This window comes from Homo sapiens, chromosome 1, assembly GCF_000001405.40.
Source record: "Homo sapiens chromosome 1, GRCh38.p14 Primary Assembly".
Classification (NCBI taxonomy): domain Eukaryota; kingdom Metazoa; phylum Chordata; class Mammalia; order Primates; family Hominidae; genus Homo; species Homo sapiens.
In genome coordinates this window covers 180,518,479-180,539,468 of record NC_000001.11, presented here as the reverse complement: position 1 = coordinate 180,539,468, position 20,990 = coordinate 180,518,479, and the positions used below count along the sequence as shown (strand labels likewise).

Sequence of the window (20,990 nt, the reverse complement as noted above, 5' to 3'; positions counted from 1 at the left end):
CAAACAGTCTCAGCTGGGAAACCCAAGTCTTTTTCATTTGGAAATTCTCGATGATAGGTTTTCAAAGCAGCTGATAAAACAGTTAATTATAGTGAGGTGTTTGGCTTCTCTGTAACATACACTTTCAACTGGTCTATGATTGGAGCTTCTTGTCATGTACTCTGAGCAGGGCCAACTAATGCTACCGTACTTTTTTTTTCCTTTGGGGGAGAGGCTTCTTAAATTACTACATAAGTAGAACTTCAGATAAAAATGCGACGTCTAGCATGAGAGCATTCAATAGAGCCCCTCCAATCTCCGCTATCGCTTCTTTTTCTCTGGTGCATTTCACTTTAGTTATGCTGGGGTTGTACAAGCCTGGCACAAGCTCAGCACAAACCCACTAGATCTTTCCTCTTGATCAGTAGCTCTCAAATTTTAGGGAACACCAGAACCCTCCAGTGAAAGATTGCTGGGCCTTCCAGAGTTTCAGATGGGACCTGAAAATGTGTATTTCCAACAGGTTCCCAGATCATGTTAATGCACTTTGTCTTGACAGGGAATCACATTTTGAGAACTATCACTCTAGCTGTTCCTTCTGCCTGAAGCTCCTTCTCCATAAATCTGCTTGACTCACTCCTTCACCTCTTTCAAGCCTTTCTTACATGTTACCATATCAGTGAAGCCCAGCTTGACCACCCTATTTTATATTGCCACCTAATATCTCAAACTCCTGGTGCTTTGGATCACCCTACCCTACTGTAGTATGTCTTTTCTATTGTACTCATAACCTTCTAACATTCTGTATAATTTATTTATTATGTTTAGTGGCAGTCTCACCCACTAGCACGTAAGCTCCTCAACCTTTTAATTTGTCCACTAATGCATCCCTAGCACTTAGAGTAGTGCCTGGCACGTAGTAGGTGCTCACTGAATATTTTCTGCATGCATGATTCAATGCTTAATGTTCCTGTAAATTACAAGGGGAAAAATTCTAATTTCTTCACAGGCTTCAAAAGAGACTTTTTTTCCTGCCTGTGTTCCTATTTTCATGCTAACCCCTTTATATAAAATGTCTCCTCTCAATTGCTTCTCCTTAAATCTATTTATTCTTTAAGTCAGATCATTCTCTTTTAATTCCTTTCTTCTTCGATGGTAGCTCAGCTGCTTCTAACCATTCTCATTGGTTTCCTAGGTGTCATTTTGGGATCCCTGGTTATAAAGTCTCTGAGCACAGAGATCATGTTCTGAATAAATGGCCAAATAGTAGGATCTGAATAAATGCATGTTAGGTAATTGAACATTCTTTTCATAGTACTATAAAGAGTGTTTCATAAAAGAATGGCTATTATATTCACAAATAAAAAATTGACAATTTGCAAGATCCCTTCACATTAAATTCTTTTCATCTTCATAAGAACTCTTTAGGCTAGGTAGGAAAGGTATTACACTCATGTTATTTCTGGGTAAAGTAAATTTAGGTTAAATTTAGATAACAGCCACTTCATCAAGATTAAATGACAAAAGTCATGGAAGTTTCTGGCACAAAGCTGGAACTCAAGATAGGTTAGTTTTCCTTCTCTAAGAGATCTTAGAAAAGGCTTTTAGATAAATGCATATATATTGTGTGTGTTCTTACAATGTGCGAAGAGCTTATAACAGATCTTCAATTCTGTGTCTGAATCTGAAGCTACAATTCTGTGAAGTATTGTTTAGTCTTATTTACTAACAAAGTTAACAGATTCAGAAAAGTTAAGTAACTTGCACAAAGTCACCCTAGCAAATGATGGAGTCAGAATTTGAACTCAGCTCCAAAAGCATGATTTTTTTCACTTCTGTAGTGCATAATGCCTCCTTGATGGCATGGAACTCATGTCTTTTGATTCACAGTCTGAGACTCTTCTGTGTACACCAACCGCTAATTGTTATGCTAACCCTGTGCTAATTGCCTGAAAAATATTAATACTGATTCTCTTGATTCTGCTACAGGGCAGTGAGTCAATAACTCCTGCAAGATATTTTTTCTCCTTTGGCTTTTACATACACAGAATCATAAAAAGTTAGAGCTGAAAAGGACATCAGAAGTCATTGGTCCTACCCTTTTGTTTCAAGAATCAGAAAAATAAGGTCCAAAAAGTATAAATGGCTTGCTTAAAATCAAAGCTGGGGACGAGGGAAACCAAGGTATGTTTTGCTCTCTGTGCAGACTTTATTTTGTGGAGTGCTTTTGTGGCAGCTTTTGCATCAAGCTGGACATCTGGGTTTGCGGTTGCATGTAAAGCTGCTTGGCAATGCTGGTGTTGTCAGGTAGCAATGGAAGCCTGGTCCCTTCCTCCTCTGGTGGCTGCGGCTGTTGCTCCTCCAGTTTCCTGTCATAATCACTGCATGATGGTGCATTGACCCGTATCTGCATCACAGAACAGTTCCCATGCCTGGAGAAATAATGGATAGAAGCAGCCAAGACACAAACACTTGATGCAGCACCCAGAGGACCAAGCTCAGAGGGACGGAAGGTAGCAAGGGACACACCAAACACTGGCTGAGAATCTGACCAGCTCCTGTCTGCAGTAAGAGGCTGATGTACTATTGGTGTGTGCAGGATGTAAGATCGCAGGTATGCTCCTTCCATTTGCTAGAAGTGGACGGGGGCATGGAATCCTGTCCATTGTGGACCACAGTGCTTAGGGCATTTCTGTTAACCAGATTATACAACGCTGACTGTTCTAGAGGCTGATATTTGACCTCAACCTTTGTGGAGAAATTGAAACGGAGGTAGTGGGGCGTCTCTCAGAGCAAGTCTTGGTGTTAGGAACAGGGCAAATGCCTAATTAGCCAAAAATCTGGCTCTTCTGCCTACTCAGGTTTAGAATCCTGGAAAGGCTTCTGGCAAATTCCTTGAACGGTTCTCTAATTGATTGTAACTTTAATACTGAGTGTAATCTTGGGAGCAGTTTTAAAAGCAGTACTTGCTTCACCCCTCCCATCTCATCAGCACTTCTGTATAACCTTGATCATGTCAATAAAATGGGGTTTAAAAGCAGCTGCTTCTCTTCACTGTAATATATCAATATTTCAGTTTGGAGCCTTGGGGCTTTTCAGACATCACCAATGCACAGAGTAGAAGCTCAACAAATATTTTTAAAATAACTTTGAAAACTACTTCCTCATTTGAAATGAAAGCTGATCAAAAGTATGAACTTTTTTTTTTTTTTTTTTGAGACAGGGTCTCGCTCAAAGATTGGAGTGCAGTGGCATGATCTTGGCTTACTACAACCTCTGCCTCCTGGGCTCAAGCAATCCTCCTACCTCAGCCTCCCAGGTAGCTGGATCTACAAGCATGTGCAACCATGCCTAGATCATTTTTGTATATAGAGACGGGATGGAGTTTCACCATGTTGCCCAGGCTGGTCTCAAACTCCTGAGCCCAAGTGATCTGCCTGCCTTGGCCTCCCAAAGTGCTGAACCTTTTTATTTTTTTTAATCCTGTGAAAGGAAAATAAATGTTGGGACCCCCAAATCGCTAAGCCAAAGGGAAAAGCCAAGCTGGGAGCTGCTTAGGGCAAACCTGCCTCCCATGCTATTCCTTAAAAAGATAGCTACTAAGACTTAAAAAAAAGCGACATACCTTCCTTACAATTTGATCACAAGGAAATTCCTTGTGGACAAAGGACAGATAGACTCAAAGTCATCCCTCTGCTCACGTGAGACAAATGCATATCTGATTGTCTCCTTTGCGCTATTGTTTCACTAAGCCAGACTAAAGTGTAGTGACTATTCCTATAAATCATGTATTCAGAGAAAGGCTAATCAGAAACTAAAAAGAATGCAACCATTTGTCTTTTATCTGCCTATGACCTGGAAGGCTCCTCCCTGCTTTGAGTTGTCCCACCTTTCCTGACCGAACCAATGTTCATCTTACATATGTTGATTGATGTCTCATGTCTCCCTAAAATATATAAAACCAAGCTGTCCCCTGACCACTTTGGGCACATGTTGTTAGGACCTCCTGAGGCTGTGTCACAGGTGTGTCCTTAACCTTGGCAAGATAAACTTTCTTTTTTTGTTGTTTTTTTTTTGAGACGGAGTCGCACTCTGTCGCCTAGGCTGGAGTGCAGTGGCGCGATCTTGGCTCACTGCAACCTCCGCCTCCCGGGTTCAAGCAATTTTCCTGCCTCAGCCTCCCAAGTAGCTGGAACTACAGGAGTCCGCCACCATGCCTGGCTAATTTTTGTATTTTTAGTAGAGACAGGGTTTCACCGTATTGGCCAGGCTGATCTCGAACTCCTGACCTTGTGATCTGCCAGCCTCGGCCTCCCAGAGTGCTGGGATTACAGGCATGAGCCACCATGCCCAGACAAGATAAACTTTCTAAATTGATTGAGACTTATTTCAGATACCCTTGGTTTACAATCCTTTAAAAGTTCATCTCTTGGCTGGGCACAGTGGCTCACACCTGTAATCCCACACTATGGAAGGCCAAGGCAGGAGTACTGCTTGAGCTCAAGAGTTCGAGACCAGCCTGGGCAACATGGCAAAACCCTGTCTCTACAAAAATATACAAAAATTATCCAGGCATGTCGGTGCATGCTTATAGTCCCAGCTACTTGGGAGGCTGAGGTGGGAGGGTCACTTGAGCTCAGGAGGTTGAGGCTGCAGTGAGCAGTACCACTGCACTCCAACCTGGGCAACAGAGCAAGACCCTGTCTCAAAAAAAAAAAAAAGGTTCATTTCTTGTGCTCACTTATGCAAAACCCTTTGCTCAGTGCTGAGCATATAATAGTCCATGCATATTTGATGGCTAAATGAATAAATTACAGGAACAGAGGAAGTAGGCATGATTTACAGCCCTGTTCTTATGGGTTTGTATTCCCTTGCTGTGTTCTCCCTCCCCACCTCAGGAACTCAAACCATTACACGCGTATTCAATGCACACCCTCTGCCATCCACCCCAGGCCCTGGCACCAGTGAGGGCCACCTGAGTACTTTTTCTGTGCGGATTCACCCAGGGGTAGAACCCTGCCAAATAATTACTTTCTAGGAACCATACGACTCTGTTCTGTTTCTGTAATGCAGCCAGAGTGATGTGCCAACATGTGCAAAGATGGATCTCACTCGTTCATGACACTGTATCAGAAAAATCTACCATCGGGCTGTTTGCCCATTAATTAAATTGCCTGGTGAGCATGGAAGGGTGGGGAAAGGATCTGGGCAAGCTGTTTATTCCCGTGTTTAAGTGAATTTTTATTAAACTTTGAAAGGGAATTGTGATTTTTTTTCTTCCCTGAGTTAAAACCATTTTATGAGCACACACAGGAAAATAATGTGATTCTGTGATTTCCTTTTTCTATTGAATTATTTGTACTGCTATTTGTTGTTTGGCTGTCTTCATTAAACAATGATCTTCCTGCAAAATAAAAGCTGGATTTTATTTCGGCATGATTGGAGGAAAGAGCACTGACCAAAGAATCAGAAAGCCTGCCCCTTCAGAGCCATTTGAGGTTTAAACATTGATTTAACCTTCCCAAGCCAAGGTGTCTGTTCTGAAACAGGTGATCACCATGGCTGCCCTGCCTACATCCTTCTAAGAGATAGTACTCCTGAATACTCCTTGAAAAACGGTATGAGTGCAATGTAGCATTTTTCCATATGTTAAGAATGCCACCCTTTGCTTCTTTTTAAATAAACTGCAGAGATTGGTAATGACCATTCTATTATAAGAGAGACCAGAAACCAGGTCAAACACCTAAGAGAGAAGGCAGGCGGGAAAATGGCGATGGGAAGGGACAGAGGCATTAGACTGCCCCCAAGTGGCGACTTGGGCATGATGCCTTGAAAGCGGTGGGGAGGGATGACCCCGCCAGGGTGACTATAATGAAAAAAGGAAACAATCTAAGAAGAGGTCATACTCATTTCTCATAAGAGCATTTAAATGCCATCAAAAAAAACAGGCAATAATAATATATTTCACGCAAATGATGCTCCGACTCACTGGCTTCCCTTTTAAGGCCTGCCACTTTATATTCAATTCGCTGCTCCGGTGAACACAATGAAATGTTTAGACTCCATTAAGAAACCTCAGAGAAAACAAACCTTGGGCCTTTAGAGTTAGCAGAAAAGCTCTTTAAATGCTTCTCACAAGCTGTCATTTGTGCATTCAGAAAACCATTAGGACTTCCTCCTTTGGAAATATGTGTGATTCTTTAGCTTCTCATTTGAAACATTAATATTTTCTTACAGTGACCCTTATCCTCGAGAACAAATTTCCTATGCTTCACCAGACAATGCAATCAATTTCTGAGATGCTGAGATGTGAACTGGGTTGGTAACAGTTAAGCAGCGTATCTGATGGGAGGAAAACTGGAGTTAGGAGTTGGGAAAGTGGGTAGCATATATATCCTGAATACTTAGAAATGCAGTAGATGCACCAGGGCTTTGGGAGAGCCTTGTGGCTGAGAAGGGTGCTTGCCAATTGTAGTGAAGATATCAGGAGACCAGACAGATTCACAGTGGAGAACATCTACTCTTCCCTCCTAACTCTGTCAGGAAATGGGACTTGGGCAGACACCCGGAGAGGCATCATGAAGTGGCTGGCAGAATCACGCAAACTCAGGGCAATTTCTTAGATTCGACCCCCTGTTCTGTCTCTAGTTGCATGGGCTGGGAAGCCAGAGAGTGGTGTCTTCAGTAGCCCTGAGAGCAAAATCCCAGGTAATTCCTATCAGATTCCACAGTCTCCTATTTAACAAGACTAATACCCCTCTTTTTACTCAACAAACCTGGTTTGAGTAAGTTCATGAATTGGATATGCCTTCCCGGTTCTCCCTGTAAAGGAAGGAGTATGTATGGGTAGCTGTGAAGAGTGTGGGCTTTGGAGCCAGACTGCCAGAGTTCAAATGCCAGCCCCACCACTTAGTAGGTAGCCACATACTGTCTCAATTTCTTCATCTGTAAACTGGGAATAATAATAATTTCTAGCTCAGGGTTGTTGTGAGGATTAAATCCAATAATATATACATATGTACATATATACACACACACATACACACATACATACATACTTCTTAACACACTACCTGGCACAGAATAAGTACTCAATAAATTGTAACTATAGTAATAATAATAATTTTTATTCTTAATATTTGAAACATGATATTATCATTCTTGGTCAAGCTGAGGAAAATTGGAATGTCAAAGACATCCTCTATATAAATGTTTAAATCAAAAGTTCTTTCATAGAGTGTTTGACCTTCATATCTCCCTTTTAAAAAATGAAATTAGTTGCGTTTATTCCTAATCAGAAAGTGATACTTGAATGCAATATAAAATTTGGATATTTCAGAAAGCACAGACATACCCATTGTAATTGTTTGATATGTGACAACCCTTAAATATGGAGATATATGTATATATCTTAAACAAAACCACTTCGTACTTACAGTTTTATAAGCAGCTTTTTTCACTCAACAATATTGTGTGAATACTGTGAAATTTGTTCTTTGAAAAAACATGATGTTTAATTTCTGCATACATTTGACTGATGACTATGGAATCACTTAATGCTGTGTTGTTGAACATTTAGATTGTTTCCAGTTTTTAACCTATTAAACTTATAATGCATATTTCTTCAGTATAATATTTCAGTAGAGAAAGTTATGAACCTTTTATGACTTTTGGTTCATGTTGCCAGATTTCCCACTAGAGCAGTGGTACCAATATACATTCTTCTAGTAGTATTTGAGTATTGAGTATTGACTTTTTAAATGTCGATTTTTCTGAATACTATAAAAATGTTTAGCCTGGGCAACATAGAAAGACCTCGTCTGTACAAAATTTTTTTTTTAAATTAGCTGGGCATGGTGGTGCACCTGTAGTCCCAACTACTCAGGAGGCTGGGGTGGGAGGATTGCTTGAGCCCAAGAGGTCGAGGCTTCAGTGAGCCATGATCGCACCACTACACTTCAGCCTGAGTGATAAAGACGCTGTCTTTTTTTTTTTTTTTTTTAAAAAAAAAAAGGCCGGGCCTGTAATCCCAGCATTTAGGGAGGCTGAGGCGGGCAGCTGGCTTGAGCCCAGGAGTTCGAGACCAGCCTGGGCAGCATGGCAAAACCCTGTCTCTACAAAAAATACAAAAATTAGCCAGGCATGGTGGTGTTTGGGCCTGTAGTCCCAGCTACTCAGGAGGCTGAGGTGGGAGGATCCATTGAGCGCAGGAGGTCGAGGCTGTGATGAGCAGTAATCATTCCATTACACTCCAGCCTAGACAAAAAAGTGAGACCTTGTTTTTATTAAAAAAAAAAAAAAAAAAAAAGGAATTGGCTGGGCTTGGTGGCTCACGCCTGTAATCCCAGCACTTTGGGAAGCTGAGGAGGGTTGATTGCCTCAGGTCAGGAGTTTGTGACCAGCCTGGCCAACATGGTGAAACCCTTTCTCTACTAAAAACACAAAAATTAGCCAGGTGTGGTGACACAAGCCTGTAATCCCAGCTACTCGGGAGGCTGAGGCAGGGGAATTGCTTGAACCAGGAAGGTGGAGGTTGCAGTGAGCCAAGATCGTGCCACTGCACTCCAGCCTGGGCAACAGAGCGAGACTCCATCTCAAAAACACACACACACACACACACACAGAAAGAATCAAGACTTTAGGCTTCTGGTTGATATGAGATTCCAGCAGCTAAACGTGGGCAATGAGTAGAGAAAGTGGTGCTTTGATTAAACTCTGCCCTCCTGCTATTGCTACATGGCATTTCCTTACAGTACAGAGTCAAAAGGGAATTTCCGGGATTGCTTTGTCTCTTGGCTTGTTAGGAGTGCAGCAAATGCGGTCCCACAACTATGTGAAGAGGAGGCTTGCTGGTAGGGAGTGGTCAGGACTGGCGGTCAGGAAACCTGAGTTTCCTGCAAATGGACAAAGGCATTTGTTAAGTAATATTGAATAGTAGCTAAGAAATAATATTCCATTTAGTAAGATTGAGGTCACAGTTGCCAACGTATTAAGATCAACTATTGTTAATGATTTTGCCTTAATGAAAATGAGTTAGAAATCCAGCTCTTTGAGGATAAGCTCTAAGTAGGGACTGAGCGATTGGGATTTAGGGTGCTTCATGCTTTAGGCAGCAAAGCCAGTTATTGGGAGATTGTCATATCGACTTTGCCTTGAAGGGTTCTCTCTTTGCCTGAATATCAGATCATGGCCTTCTTAGAAAAGTGCTCCGTGACATTTTATTGATTAGCCTTCAAAAAAGAGCATAGCAGTAGGGAGAGGTCGGGCCAGTCTCCCTCAGTCCTCTGGGCCGGCCGAAGCCCAGACACCTTCACAGGATGATGGAGACTTGGCAAAATGCTGTATTCACCTGGGAGGGTCCTTGTGTACCCGACTACAATTCTGAAGATACTCAGTATGGTTGCCTGAGACTTCTCCTGGTCAGCTCTTCCCAATATTCTTTTCTCCTCCCTCCCTGACACCCTCCCCTTAACACCTCCCCACTCTGCCACCCCCATATCACTTGCTGGAACACCTATTTCCTCATCTTATTTGAAAAAATGTATTATATTGTCAAATAAATCAAACTGTTCAGGAGGTGTAGCAGAAAAAGCCCTTTGTCCCCATACAGAAGGCACTTATAAAAATCTCACCCATTATCTTCCAGGTAATTTTTCCTTTAAATACTTTTCTTTCATGGAGAACATTCCAAGTGACAGTAAAAACAGAAATAGTTCATTTGGAAGACACAATATAACAGTATTTTCTTAGGGTATTAAATAATGATCCTCTAATTGCTGAACTTAAATCACACAAAAATGCTAGACATAAAAGTCACCTTTTAAAAGGAAGCTTTGCACATACCTCATTTTCCCCCAAATAGCCACCTCTATGATTCCTTTGTGTTGTAGAAAAACCTGTCATTTACAAAGTGCTTTTGTATACATTTTCTCACTTGGTCATTATGTGTTAAGGCAGGCTAGAGCACAAATCTTAGCTCACTGTAGCTTCAAATTTGTGGGCTCAAGTGATCCTCCCACCTCAGCCTCCCGAGTAGCTGAGACTACAGGTACACACCACCACGTCCAGTTAATTTTTTATTTTTTAAAATTTTTTGTAGAGATGAGGTCTCTCTGTGTTGCCCAGGCTGGTCTCAAACGATCCGCCTGCCTCGACCTCCCATAGTGCTGGGATTACAGGCGTGAGCCCCTATGCCCAGCCGCTCATTTTCTAAATGAAGATGCTCAGAGAGGTTGGGTGAGTTGGCCAAGGACACCCAGCTCCCTGCAGCTCGGGTTTGCTTGCTCCTGGTTCTGTGCATGTTCTCAGCTCCCTGCTGTGTTTCATTGCTTAAAACAAAACAGAAAACAGTGTATTACCCTTGGCACTACTTTGTGGCTAGGTTATACTTGGCTTAGCTTTGCACCTAGGCACCCTTTGAAATGTGATTCTGAGCTAGGAAAAAGGCTATTTTAATACATCCAAATGAGGCTTAGTTGAATTTTCCCTCCTATGTGCCTGTGACTAAGAGAACACGATGTCTCGAGTAGTTGTTCCTTTAGTACTCTAGTGTTTGTTTTGCTTTTTATTTTGCTGAAGTCATGAAGTGAGAATTAATTTCCTTTCGAAATACACTGGAAATGTATAGTAACCATTTAGGAAAGCTAGTTTGGTTAAAAAACATTTTTAAAATATGATAAGTATAGAGAGCTTCCTGTATGTTTTGAGTTAGAGGTAGCTAGTATTCCTCAATAGAAAACACTGGAAAACAAAAGCATCTTCCATAGAAAATATCAGAAAAGCAAAACAATCTTCCTGCTTCTGTCATGGAGGTGAGACTGCCTCAGTGCTGGGGAACTACCATACAAGACACCTCCATGAACACAAACCCTGGAACTCAGAGACAGAGGACGGCGCTCATCTGCAACAGCAGTCTAATCCTCAAGAAATGCGTGGCTAACAACGTGAAACCCCATCTCTACTAAACACACACACACACACACACACAATTAGCCGGGCGTGGTTGCGGGCACCTGTAGTCCCAGCTACTCGGGAGGCTGAGGCAGGAGAATGGCATGAACCCAGGAAGCGGAGCTTGCAGTGAGCTGAGATAGTGCCACTGCACTCCAGCCTGGGCGACAGAGCGAGACTCCATCTCAAAAAACAAAAAATAAAACAAACAAACAAACAAAACACACCCCACAACAACTGCGGATGTGAAATCACCAAGACATTTGTGTAGCACTCATTAAAGAGGGCAACACTAGGCGTGGTGGCTCGCGCCTGTAATCCCAGCACTTTGGGAGGCCAAAGTGGGCAGATCACCTGAGGTCAGGAGTTTGAGACCAGCCTGGCCAACATGGCGAAACCTCGTCTCTACTAAAAATAGAAAAATTAGCTGGGTGTGGTGGTGCGCAGCTATAATCCCAGCTACTAGGGAGGCTGAGGCAGGAGAATCGCTTGAACCTGGGAGGTGGAGGTTGTAGTGAGCCAAGATCACACCACTGCACTCCAGCCTAGACAACAAAGTGAGAGTCCGTCTCAAGAAAAAAAAAAAAGAGGACAACAGTGTTTCCTAACAGGATTAGCCTCCTCGTAGAGATATTTCCTGGCTCCAAATAGCTCTGAAGTGTTTTAAAACGGGGAAAGTTAGTGACCAATTCTGACAAAGTCAAAATCATAAATGATGCTATGCTTAGTAATTAAGATTTGACCAGGTTATTTTTTAGGTTTTCCAAAGATTAGACTCCTGAACCACAGCATTAAATCAATGGAGTTTCCAGCAAATGAGGGTGAGAATTTTGACAGGGCTCGGATTCACCTTGACCTCCTCAGGGTCACTGAGCACTGGGGTCACTGAGCACTAAATTGAGAGTCTGAGTCTCTTGCTTTATTCTTGAGGTCTTTAAAAACAGAAAATAATAATAATCAGTTATGTGTCCACTATTATGTGGCAGCTGTAAAGAAAGCCAAGTGAATGAGTCATTGTCCCTTGAATACACCATTCACATTCCTGTCCCCGCACCTTTGCTCATGCCATTCTCCACACCAGACTCTGTATGTCCTTCCCCCTCTGGCCTACTGAAGAAGTCTATGCACAAGCCTTATCTCTTCTCAGTGAAAGTCTCCTTGTCCTTTCCCAGGTCAGTGCTGCCTCCCCTCTCTGAACTCCCGGAGCCCTTGCTGTCTACCTAACACATTTATAACTTGGCATATCATCTCCGGAACGGATAATTATTCTTTTCTATCCTATCTTTGGAAACAGGCTGTAAATTCCATCAGTGCAGCTTATCTTTCAGCCTTTCTTTCTTTTTTTTTTTTTAACGTCTCTGATAGCATGCCTCCTACCAAATTGGTTCTCAAAAAACCCATTGATTGGTTCATGCCTTCATGTAACCAACTGCTGTCATTGTCATCTCTTGGTACTTAGAGACAGGGCTATATATTAGTTTGGGTTGCTTCTCACCATCCTCTGGGTTAAGGTCTCTGTGGGACTGTGGATTTGTTTTGTGACAGTGTATAGAGCAAGGTCAGGGAGGAGAACCACGGTGTGTACTTTATAACTCCATTTGAATGTCCGCTCCCTTTTATCTGTGGCTGTTATCCCAACCAGGGGCAAGGACATAGTTAAGAATTATGAGGATTCAGGTGGGCTGAAAGTCCTGGCTTAATGGAGTGCCAAGCTCAGGAAGAAAATATGGCTTCGGGTTGGGAGGGGTCCCCCTTCTCTCCCACACCACTGAAAAAGGCACCTGAGAAATTCAGTGCAGAGTCCACCGTCCTGTTGCCTTATCTATGGGGATTGATTCCCTTGCTTCAAGAGGGGAGGGAGGCAAATGGATCCTAGTTCCTGGCATTAAATGAGGCTCTTTCCTTAGAGGAGCTGACAAAGCAGCGAAAAGGGCAGTGGGGGAAGCAGAGACAGCAGAAAGTTATCTAGAAGTGTAAGTGAGGAGAAACACTTCAGCGCAAAGGAAATCAGAGTGAATATGAAACTTATCTCGGGAGAGGGAGGGCCGTTTTTGCAAGGGAGCTCTTGGAGAAGGGATTCAATTGCATGGAAGAAAATGTTAGGGAAAAATTTTACCTGACTCTACAGAAAGCTTTGCTGAGTTAAGGGGTAAAGTAATAGATTTAAATTCTGATGACCTGAGGGTATGCGAAGACTAGGACTACACAGGGAGACAGCAAGTGTTGCAGTGAGGAGCATGGGTGTGGGGTAGAAGGAACTGGATGCAAATCTCAGCAGTGGGTTCCTGGCCAGGTTACCATCTCTGAGACTCAGTTTCCTCATCTGTAAAATAGGAATGTATACCACAGAACACTGCTGAGAGGATTAAGTGAGAGAATCAGACTGTTAGTGCAGTCAGTCCCTGGCATGTAATACATGGTAGTTCCATCCATACGGAAGGATATTTCTTGATCTCTTTTTAGGCAATTCTGGCATTGGAGTGCCTGGGGGTGCCAAGGAGGGACACAGATAGAAAGAAATTCCTCATGGAGGGAATGGCCAATGCATTTCTAGAAACAATCATCTCTGATGTTGTATTTGAAATTATTTCCTACCCCAGGCTATAATAGCTCTGTCTGTTCTCATTAGTTATGACATCTTCAGAAAAATCTGTTTCATGCAACTGCTCTGTATTAGTGGTGCTCTGCAACAGAGAGGAGACAGGCTGTGTCTGCTTTGGCTACCTCGAGAGGGAGGAAAGAGCAAGCAGCAAGGATTGAGCAGGAAGCAGGATTCCAGAGCCAGAGATGATGGATGCATTAAAGGGCAACGGTGTTTCCACAATGAATAGCAAAGGCAGGAGGCCTCAGAAGCAAACTGGACTTGGTAACATCCAGGTTACAATTACATTCGTAACTGAAACAGGAAGAAGAAATCAGGAAATACCATTAGTTGTTGAACGAATCAACCCAGAGCTGAAAGTTGGTAAGAAGCCTTTCTCAGGTCCTTTGCCTAACAGCAGTTTATCCCTTACTGAGTAAGTTAAGTGACTCACCTGGAGTAGCTCTAGCACGTTCTAATTAGTCTGTACCTGTCCAGTTTACGAGGCCAGCATCGCCAAGTGTCAGATGTTGCTCCATGCACTCATACTTCTCCTGTCTGTGACAGGAGTGTTTCCCCAGGTGGCCAGCCTCACGTCTAAGCAAGGAGGCAAATTAATAATAGCACAACAATGATTTGGCTCCAAATGAGGAAGGATTTCTAAGATGGCTCACAACTGCTGTTGTGTTGTGTCCAGGGCAGCAGTGACCCTTCCTTGACTGGCTGCTCCAGCACCTACCAATGAAATAATTCACAAAGCCCCTCAGATGATGAACCAGCCACTGTGGCCACTACCCTCATGATTGACTTCCCTCTAGGGCTGTGCCCTTGCACATATGGGCTTCCTTTGCCTGGGGCTGGGGGCAGGGCCCACCCTCATAATACAGGCAGGAGCAGGGCCTTGCTATTCTCAGGCTCTCACCTCATCATGTGGTACTGTTGAGTCTCCTTGCTCTGCCTGCGATGTCTTCTGGAAGGTAAGCAGCTCTGCTAAGGGCAGGAGTGAAATGCTGTCACTCATTTTTTCCTACCCCTTTCAATGAACCCAGTCCACCCTCACACGTGGCTGGAAAGCCTTTGCAGGCCTCTGTCCTAAGTCTTTAGAATCTCTCCAGACCCTCTCCCACTTGCTCACTCTGCCAGTCATTAGTCATTCTCAGCTTTCCCATCAGTGACCTCTGCTTTCCTACCCATCCTCCTCCCTACTTCTGATTCCACATGTCAGCTTCTGTCCTTCATATTAGGAACTCATTTCTCTGGCTCGAACTCCAGCACCCGTTTGGACAGAGTCCCAGCTTTCCTCCACCTCAAACACTTAGGGGTGGACTAAAGCCTTTAAAACCTCTAAGCGATGAAATATGTAAACTATACATTTTACATTATAAATTATAAAATAAATATAAACCCCAGCAAATTAAATGATGACCCTTTAAATGCTTTCTTAACTGTCAAAAGCTCCTCCTGCTGAAATATTTTGGAGGCCTGATTTTCTGATACCAAAAGCCCATGCTTACCCTGCCCACTGGTGATGGGTGCATGTTCCTCTCTAGCCCCATGCTCAGCTGACCACAGGCGCCTGTAAGGACTAACCAGCTGGGCTGCCCTGTTCAGCCTTCCTTGTGGAGTGAGGGGTCAGTCCAGCTTGTGGGTTCACCACATACCTTGCTCCTAGCTCATTCCCCTAGCAAAGTCACCTCTTCTCTTCCTTCCCATCCGCCCAAGACAGTGTGACAATACGTGTATCTGTTTTGTCCCTTCAACTCATTCTCATTGACTTGATTGCTACTCATTGGTTTTGCAACAAAGACGACTAAAACCCCTGGTGGTAGGCATTACGGTAGAGGTATGTATTGACTTAACAGTCCCTCCTCCAGCCAGGCCCAACGTGATGCTAGGAATAGAGAGAGCAATTTGAGCAACAGGCTGAGACAATGGTTCTGAATCCAAGCAAATTTACATGGGTCACCAGAACATCCATCATTTCTCACTACAGGTACCTGAATGCCAGCGGAGAAGGTTATGAATAATTTATTATCTAATTGATTGACTAAAAGGCCATGAGAGGAATAACAGGCATGCCCAGGAGGCTTCTCACTCTCTCCTTCCCTTCCTCCCTCCTTTGTTCTCTGTCTCCCTCTCCCCAACCTTTCTCTTTCTTTTTTTTTCAAAGTGAATTCAAACCTGGGCCTACTTTTTATGCATAACTCAAAATCTTGATCTCATGACTTCATTCTTTGTGGCACAATCCTCCCTAAACCCCTTCTCACACCTTCCTTTGAACCAAGTGGAACAGTTGTACCACTTATGGCTCTGTCTTTACTCTTGAATAATTGCCATTGCAGGCAGTTTTCTCATCATAATTTAGAGAGGATTTAGAGATTTTTACCCAAGAAGAGAGAATTTGATTGCATCACAACAAAAGAGGTCCTCAGATGGACAATGGGGCATGGATCAGATGGAGGAAACAAAACATACAGGCCTGAGCAGTGTGTGTTTTCTAGGGCTGCTGTAACAAAGAACCACAGACTAAGGGGCTTAAAACAAGAGACATTTATTGTCTTACAGTTCAAGTGGCTAGAAGTCCAAAACCAAGATGTTGGCAGGGCCATGCTCAAACCGAAACGCGGAGGAGAGAATCCTTCCTTGCCTCTTCTGGCTACTGGTGGTTCGCTGGCAGTCCTTAGCATTCTTTGGCTAGCAGCTGCACCACCTCAATCTCTGCTTGCATTGTCACATGGTGTTCTCTCTGTGTGTCTCTCTTCACATGGCCACCTCCTTATAAGGACATCTCCTTATACATTGGCACCTTCTTAGGGCCCACCATAATCCAGTATGACCTCATCTTAATTAATTACATTTGCAGTGACCTTATTTCCACATCAGGTCACATTCTCAGGTACAGGGATCAGGACTTCAACATATATTTTTGTGGGGGGGTGGGGACAAAATCCAACCCATAACAAGAAACATGCCTATTCTGAGAATGGCCAGTAGTTCCATTTGGCTGGAAAGTTGGGCATGACTAGAGTGTGGTGGGAGAGGAAAACAATCTAGCAACTAAAATAATGGGAAAGCAAAGCTGTGGACTTATTAGCTTAGTTTACTGTGGTGAAGGTCTCTGCATCTCTCATTCCAGTCCAATAGCTTGCAATTTTTTGCCATTGGTCAAGAGAAAGATAGAGAACTACCATGCAGGTGAGTCAATAATGTCTTCTCTATCTGTCATTCATTCATGTATTTATTCAATAATATTTATTGAGCACCATGTGCCAGGAACCATGCCAAGCAATGGGATTCAGTGGCAAACCAGACAGACATGACTTCTGTTCTCCTAGAGAAACAGCTCAAAGTATGGTTTCACTTGTCTTCAGTCATGACCTTCCTTATCAACATGTAACAATGTCTAGAAGGAATTCCAAGGTAGATTAATTAAAAATAGATGGGTGGCAAAGTTGTGAAACAAAACAGGAAATCATTTTAAAAGCAGAAAATAAGTAGACATATCCCCAGGCGAACGACAAGCCTGTGCAAAGTTCTTTCTATGTCAAAGCCAGTGTCCTTTACGGTATCAGATAACTAACTCCTCCAAATTGCTAAGGCATGCTCGTCATTCCCGTCATTCCCGTAATGCAAATAGAAAACCCTCACGTAACCCTGCCAGAAGGTGACAGTGTAACACATTGCCCAGTCCTCAACCAGTAGCTGAAGATCAAGGGGCACAGTAGGAAGTACATAGCTTCTTCTCCCATGCATTAAAGTTAAGTGATCATGCCTGGACAAGCACCATGGATTGGAAGAAAGCCTTCGACTGGAATCTGGTCAGCACACTTGTTGATAAATTGCAAAATATCTCATGTTTCTGTGGAAAACAGGGCACTACTGACATGTGGCTCCGTGTAATTATAGTCACTAAAGTTAATATTTTCCATAAACTATAGATGGTCTCTGAATTGGGCTACATTTGCAGAAATTGTGCTGTAGTCCTTGAAAACACCGCATGGAATTACCTTTCAAAGTAATAATGTGCATGAGGTATCTCACCTCTTATTATTCAGCAAGTGATCCTATCCCGGCAGGGAGTTTTCCATTAAATAATATATGTTTATACAAAAAGGAGGGAAGAAGGAAGAGAAAAGAAAAAGAACGTCCCTAATGACATTCACAAATACTCTGGCTTTCCTCTCTTTCCAGGAATGTAGTAAGACTGCACGTCACTGTCCCCTTTGAAGTTAGGTTTGACCATGTGACTCACTTTGACTGATGAAATGTGTGCAGAAGTGACCTAAGTCCTACCTGAGTGAAAGCTTTAAGAGCCACAATATGCTACATTCTCCTTTACTGCTGCCTTCGAGATTGTGTGAGCAGATGTCAAGATGGGTCTTGTCAGCATGCTTCCCCCAGTGATGCTGACGAGCAGAGCAACAGAGTGCAAGCAAAAATAAAAGATTTGCTGGGTGCGGTGGCTCACACCTGTAATCCCAAATTACAGGCAAATTATGCCTGTAATTTGCTGGGATTGGGAGGGCAAGGTGGGCAGATCACCTGAGGTCAGGAGTTCAAGACCAGCCTGGCCAACATGGTGAAACCCTGTCTCTACTAAAAATACAAAAAATTAGCCAGATGTGGTGGCAGGTGCCTGTAATCCCAGCTACTCGGGAGGCTGAGGCAGGATAATCGCTTGAATCCGGGAGGCGGAGGTTGCAGCAAGCTGAGATTGCACCATTATACTCCAGCCTGGGAGACACAGCAAAACTCTTTCTCAAAAAAAAAAAAAAATAAAATAAAATAAATAAAATAAAATAAAAGATTTGTGGGGCTAAGCAATTGAAGTTTTGGGTTTTTTGTTGTTGCTGTTGTTGCTGCCACATAACCTGTCCTGTCCTGACTAAAATTGACAGTGAATTCTGCATGTTAACTCCTATGGACCAACTAACCAACACCGTCAGTGTTAATGAGACAGAGTTATCAGATGCATGAAAGGGGCTCCCTAGAGCAGGTTCTCCTGGGTATTCACCTGCCAGGGCAGATCTGTCAGGAAGGCCAAGGTTGGGCTCCAGAGAGGCTGTACAGGTTTTAGTAGGAAGTACTAGAACACATTTATTTTAACTATTCAGTTGTAATGGATGCATTGGATAACTATGAAATACTTTGATATGTAGAATGATAATACAATTTCATTATAGCCAATACTGAGCAATAAAGTCCTGAGAATATTATGAAGAGCAAAGGGATAAAGGAAAAAGAAAAACAAGTCAGCGGAATGCCATTTTAATAGATGGATTGTAGTCATCAAATTAAATTAATGTCAAAGTCATCCATCCTTCCCGTTCTCAATTATTTTAACTAAGCCAAAATTCCACTCCAACACTTCGACAATAACTTTCATAGCTACCTAAAATTACTTCCAGGGGGCCAGGAGTGGTGGTGCATGCTTGTAGTCCCAGTTATTTGGGAGGCTGAGACAGGAGGATTGCTTGAGCACAGGGGTTCGAGGCTCCAGTGAGCTATGATAGTGGCACTGCACTCCAGCCTGGGTGACAGGGTAAGACCCGGTCTCAATCAACAAATAAACAACTTCCAGGGGGAAGGCAGGGTACAAATGAAAGACCAGACTAAAACTATTTCTTTATCCTCGGAAAACTGGAGGTTTATTCTACTATGGCTTTATCATTTCACTGCTCATTTTTCCTTTTCCCTCCCAGCTTCCCAATCAATTCATTTTACCCTAAACCACTGTCCTGCAAGTGCGCCCTAATGGCTTTCTCACATGCCTTCACTCACCTGCCAAATGCCCATCTCTCTCACTTTTTTCTGTTCAAATCTCACCATCCCTCTGGGCTAGCTCCCATCTCCAGGAAGCACTGGCCTCTCTCTCAACTCCAGGCCTCACAGATCTTTCCTGTTTCCTGAATTCCTGAGGCAGCAACAATTCTGAGCACACGATTTAGTGCTGACTTACATAACGGTTCTCTCTCTTTCATGTGTGGCAGTCCTGTCTCTCAATCACTCTACGGCAGGGACCCCAGCCCTGAGCCCTGCTCCTGTGAGCTCCTGAGCTCTGTCCCAGATCAGCAGTGGTATTAGATTGTCATAGGACCACAAGCCCTATTGTGAAGTGCAAGGGATCTAGGTTGCACGCTCCTTATGAGAATCTAACGCCTGATGATCTGAGGTGGAACAGTTCATCCTGAAACCACCTGCCCTCTTGTCTTCCACAAAATCCATCCCTGGTGCCAAAAAGGTTGGGGACTACTGCTATATGCATCTGTGCACACCTCAAGAATTCTCTTCCTTTTCCAACTCTTCTTTCTCAGTCTTCTCTCTTCATAAACAACTCACCCTGTACCATGCATTGAAATGCAACAGGAAACAGACCTTACTATTAAAAAGGGCATGACAGCTGGGCGCGGTGGCTAATGCCTGTAATCCCAGCACTTTCCGAGGCCGAGGGGGGCAGATCATGAGGTCAAGAGATCGAGACCATCCTGGCCAACATGGTGAAACCTCATCTCTACTAAAAATACAAAAATTAGCTGAGTGTGGTGGTGCACGCTTGTAGTCCCAGCTACTCAGGAGGCTGAGGCAGAAGAATTGCTTGAACCCGGGAGGCAGAGGTTGCAGTGAGCCGAGATCACGCCACTGCACTCCAGCCTGGTAACAGAGCAAGACTCTGTCAAAAAAAAAAAAAAAAAAAAAAAAGAGCATGACAACATAATGTACTCAAAATAATTCAAATATTACCTTTACTTATGATAGATAACATGCCCTTTCATAAAAGTATGTTCTATGTAAGATGACTATCACATGGAAGCTATTTCACTGTTTAAAAGCAAGAAAAAGCCTGGTCCAAGTGCAGTGGTATTTACAACTAATGGATCGCACAATCAGTTACAGATTTCTTTGTTCCTTCTCCACTCCCACTGCTTCACTTGACTAGGCTTAAAAAAATAATAAAAATGAAAGCAAGAAAAGAACAAACTACTTATTTAGGATAAAATATCACAAATACACTTTATTTCTATCTTCTGGATATTTTATATGAAATTATGTCTCTTTGAAACATTTTTAAAACATGCCAATTAAAAAGAAATTTGGGGAGCCTTTCACTGATATGTTATGCTTTTATTATATTAAGTACAAATATAGGCTCAATATATTAGTTATATTAAGTATAAACATAGACTCAATGCCTTTGATGCTTTTATATACTCATAGACTCAGAAGTGGTAATTAACATGTGGGCAATTGTCAATAAATTCTTGCTGATTATTCACCTTCCATACAAAGTGATTTTTTTCACCAAGTCTTTTCAAAAAGCTCTGGCTTTCATATGCTAGCTTTTACTGACGCTGTATATGTGATGTGATGTGTGTGTGTGTGTGTGTGTATATATATATATATATATAAGTCATATGTAATTTGTGTTTGTGTGTATTTATTTATTTATTTTGAGACAGGGTCTTGCTCTGTCACCCAGGCT

General features: G+C 42.8%; 1 annotated feature.

Annotated features, from left to right (window-relative positions):
- Positions 16,941-18,140: an enhancer, noted in NCBI's record as "MED14-independent group 3 enhancer chr1:180490465-180491664 (GRCh37/hg19 assembly coordinates)". NCBI's record gives its function as "activates an origin of replication core promoter dependent on BRD2, BRD4, P300/CBP and CDK7 cofactors, and independent of MED14, by STARR-seq in HCT116 cells {active_cell/tissue: HCT116}" and the evidence as "EXISTENCE:reporter gene assay evidence [ECO:0000049][PMID:35650434]".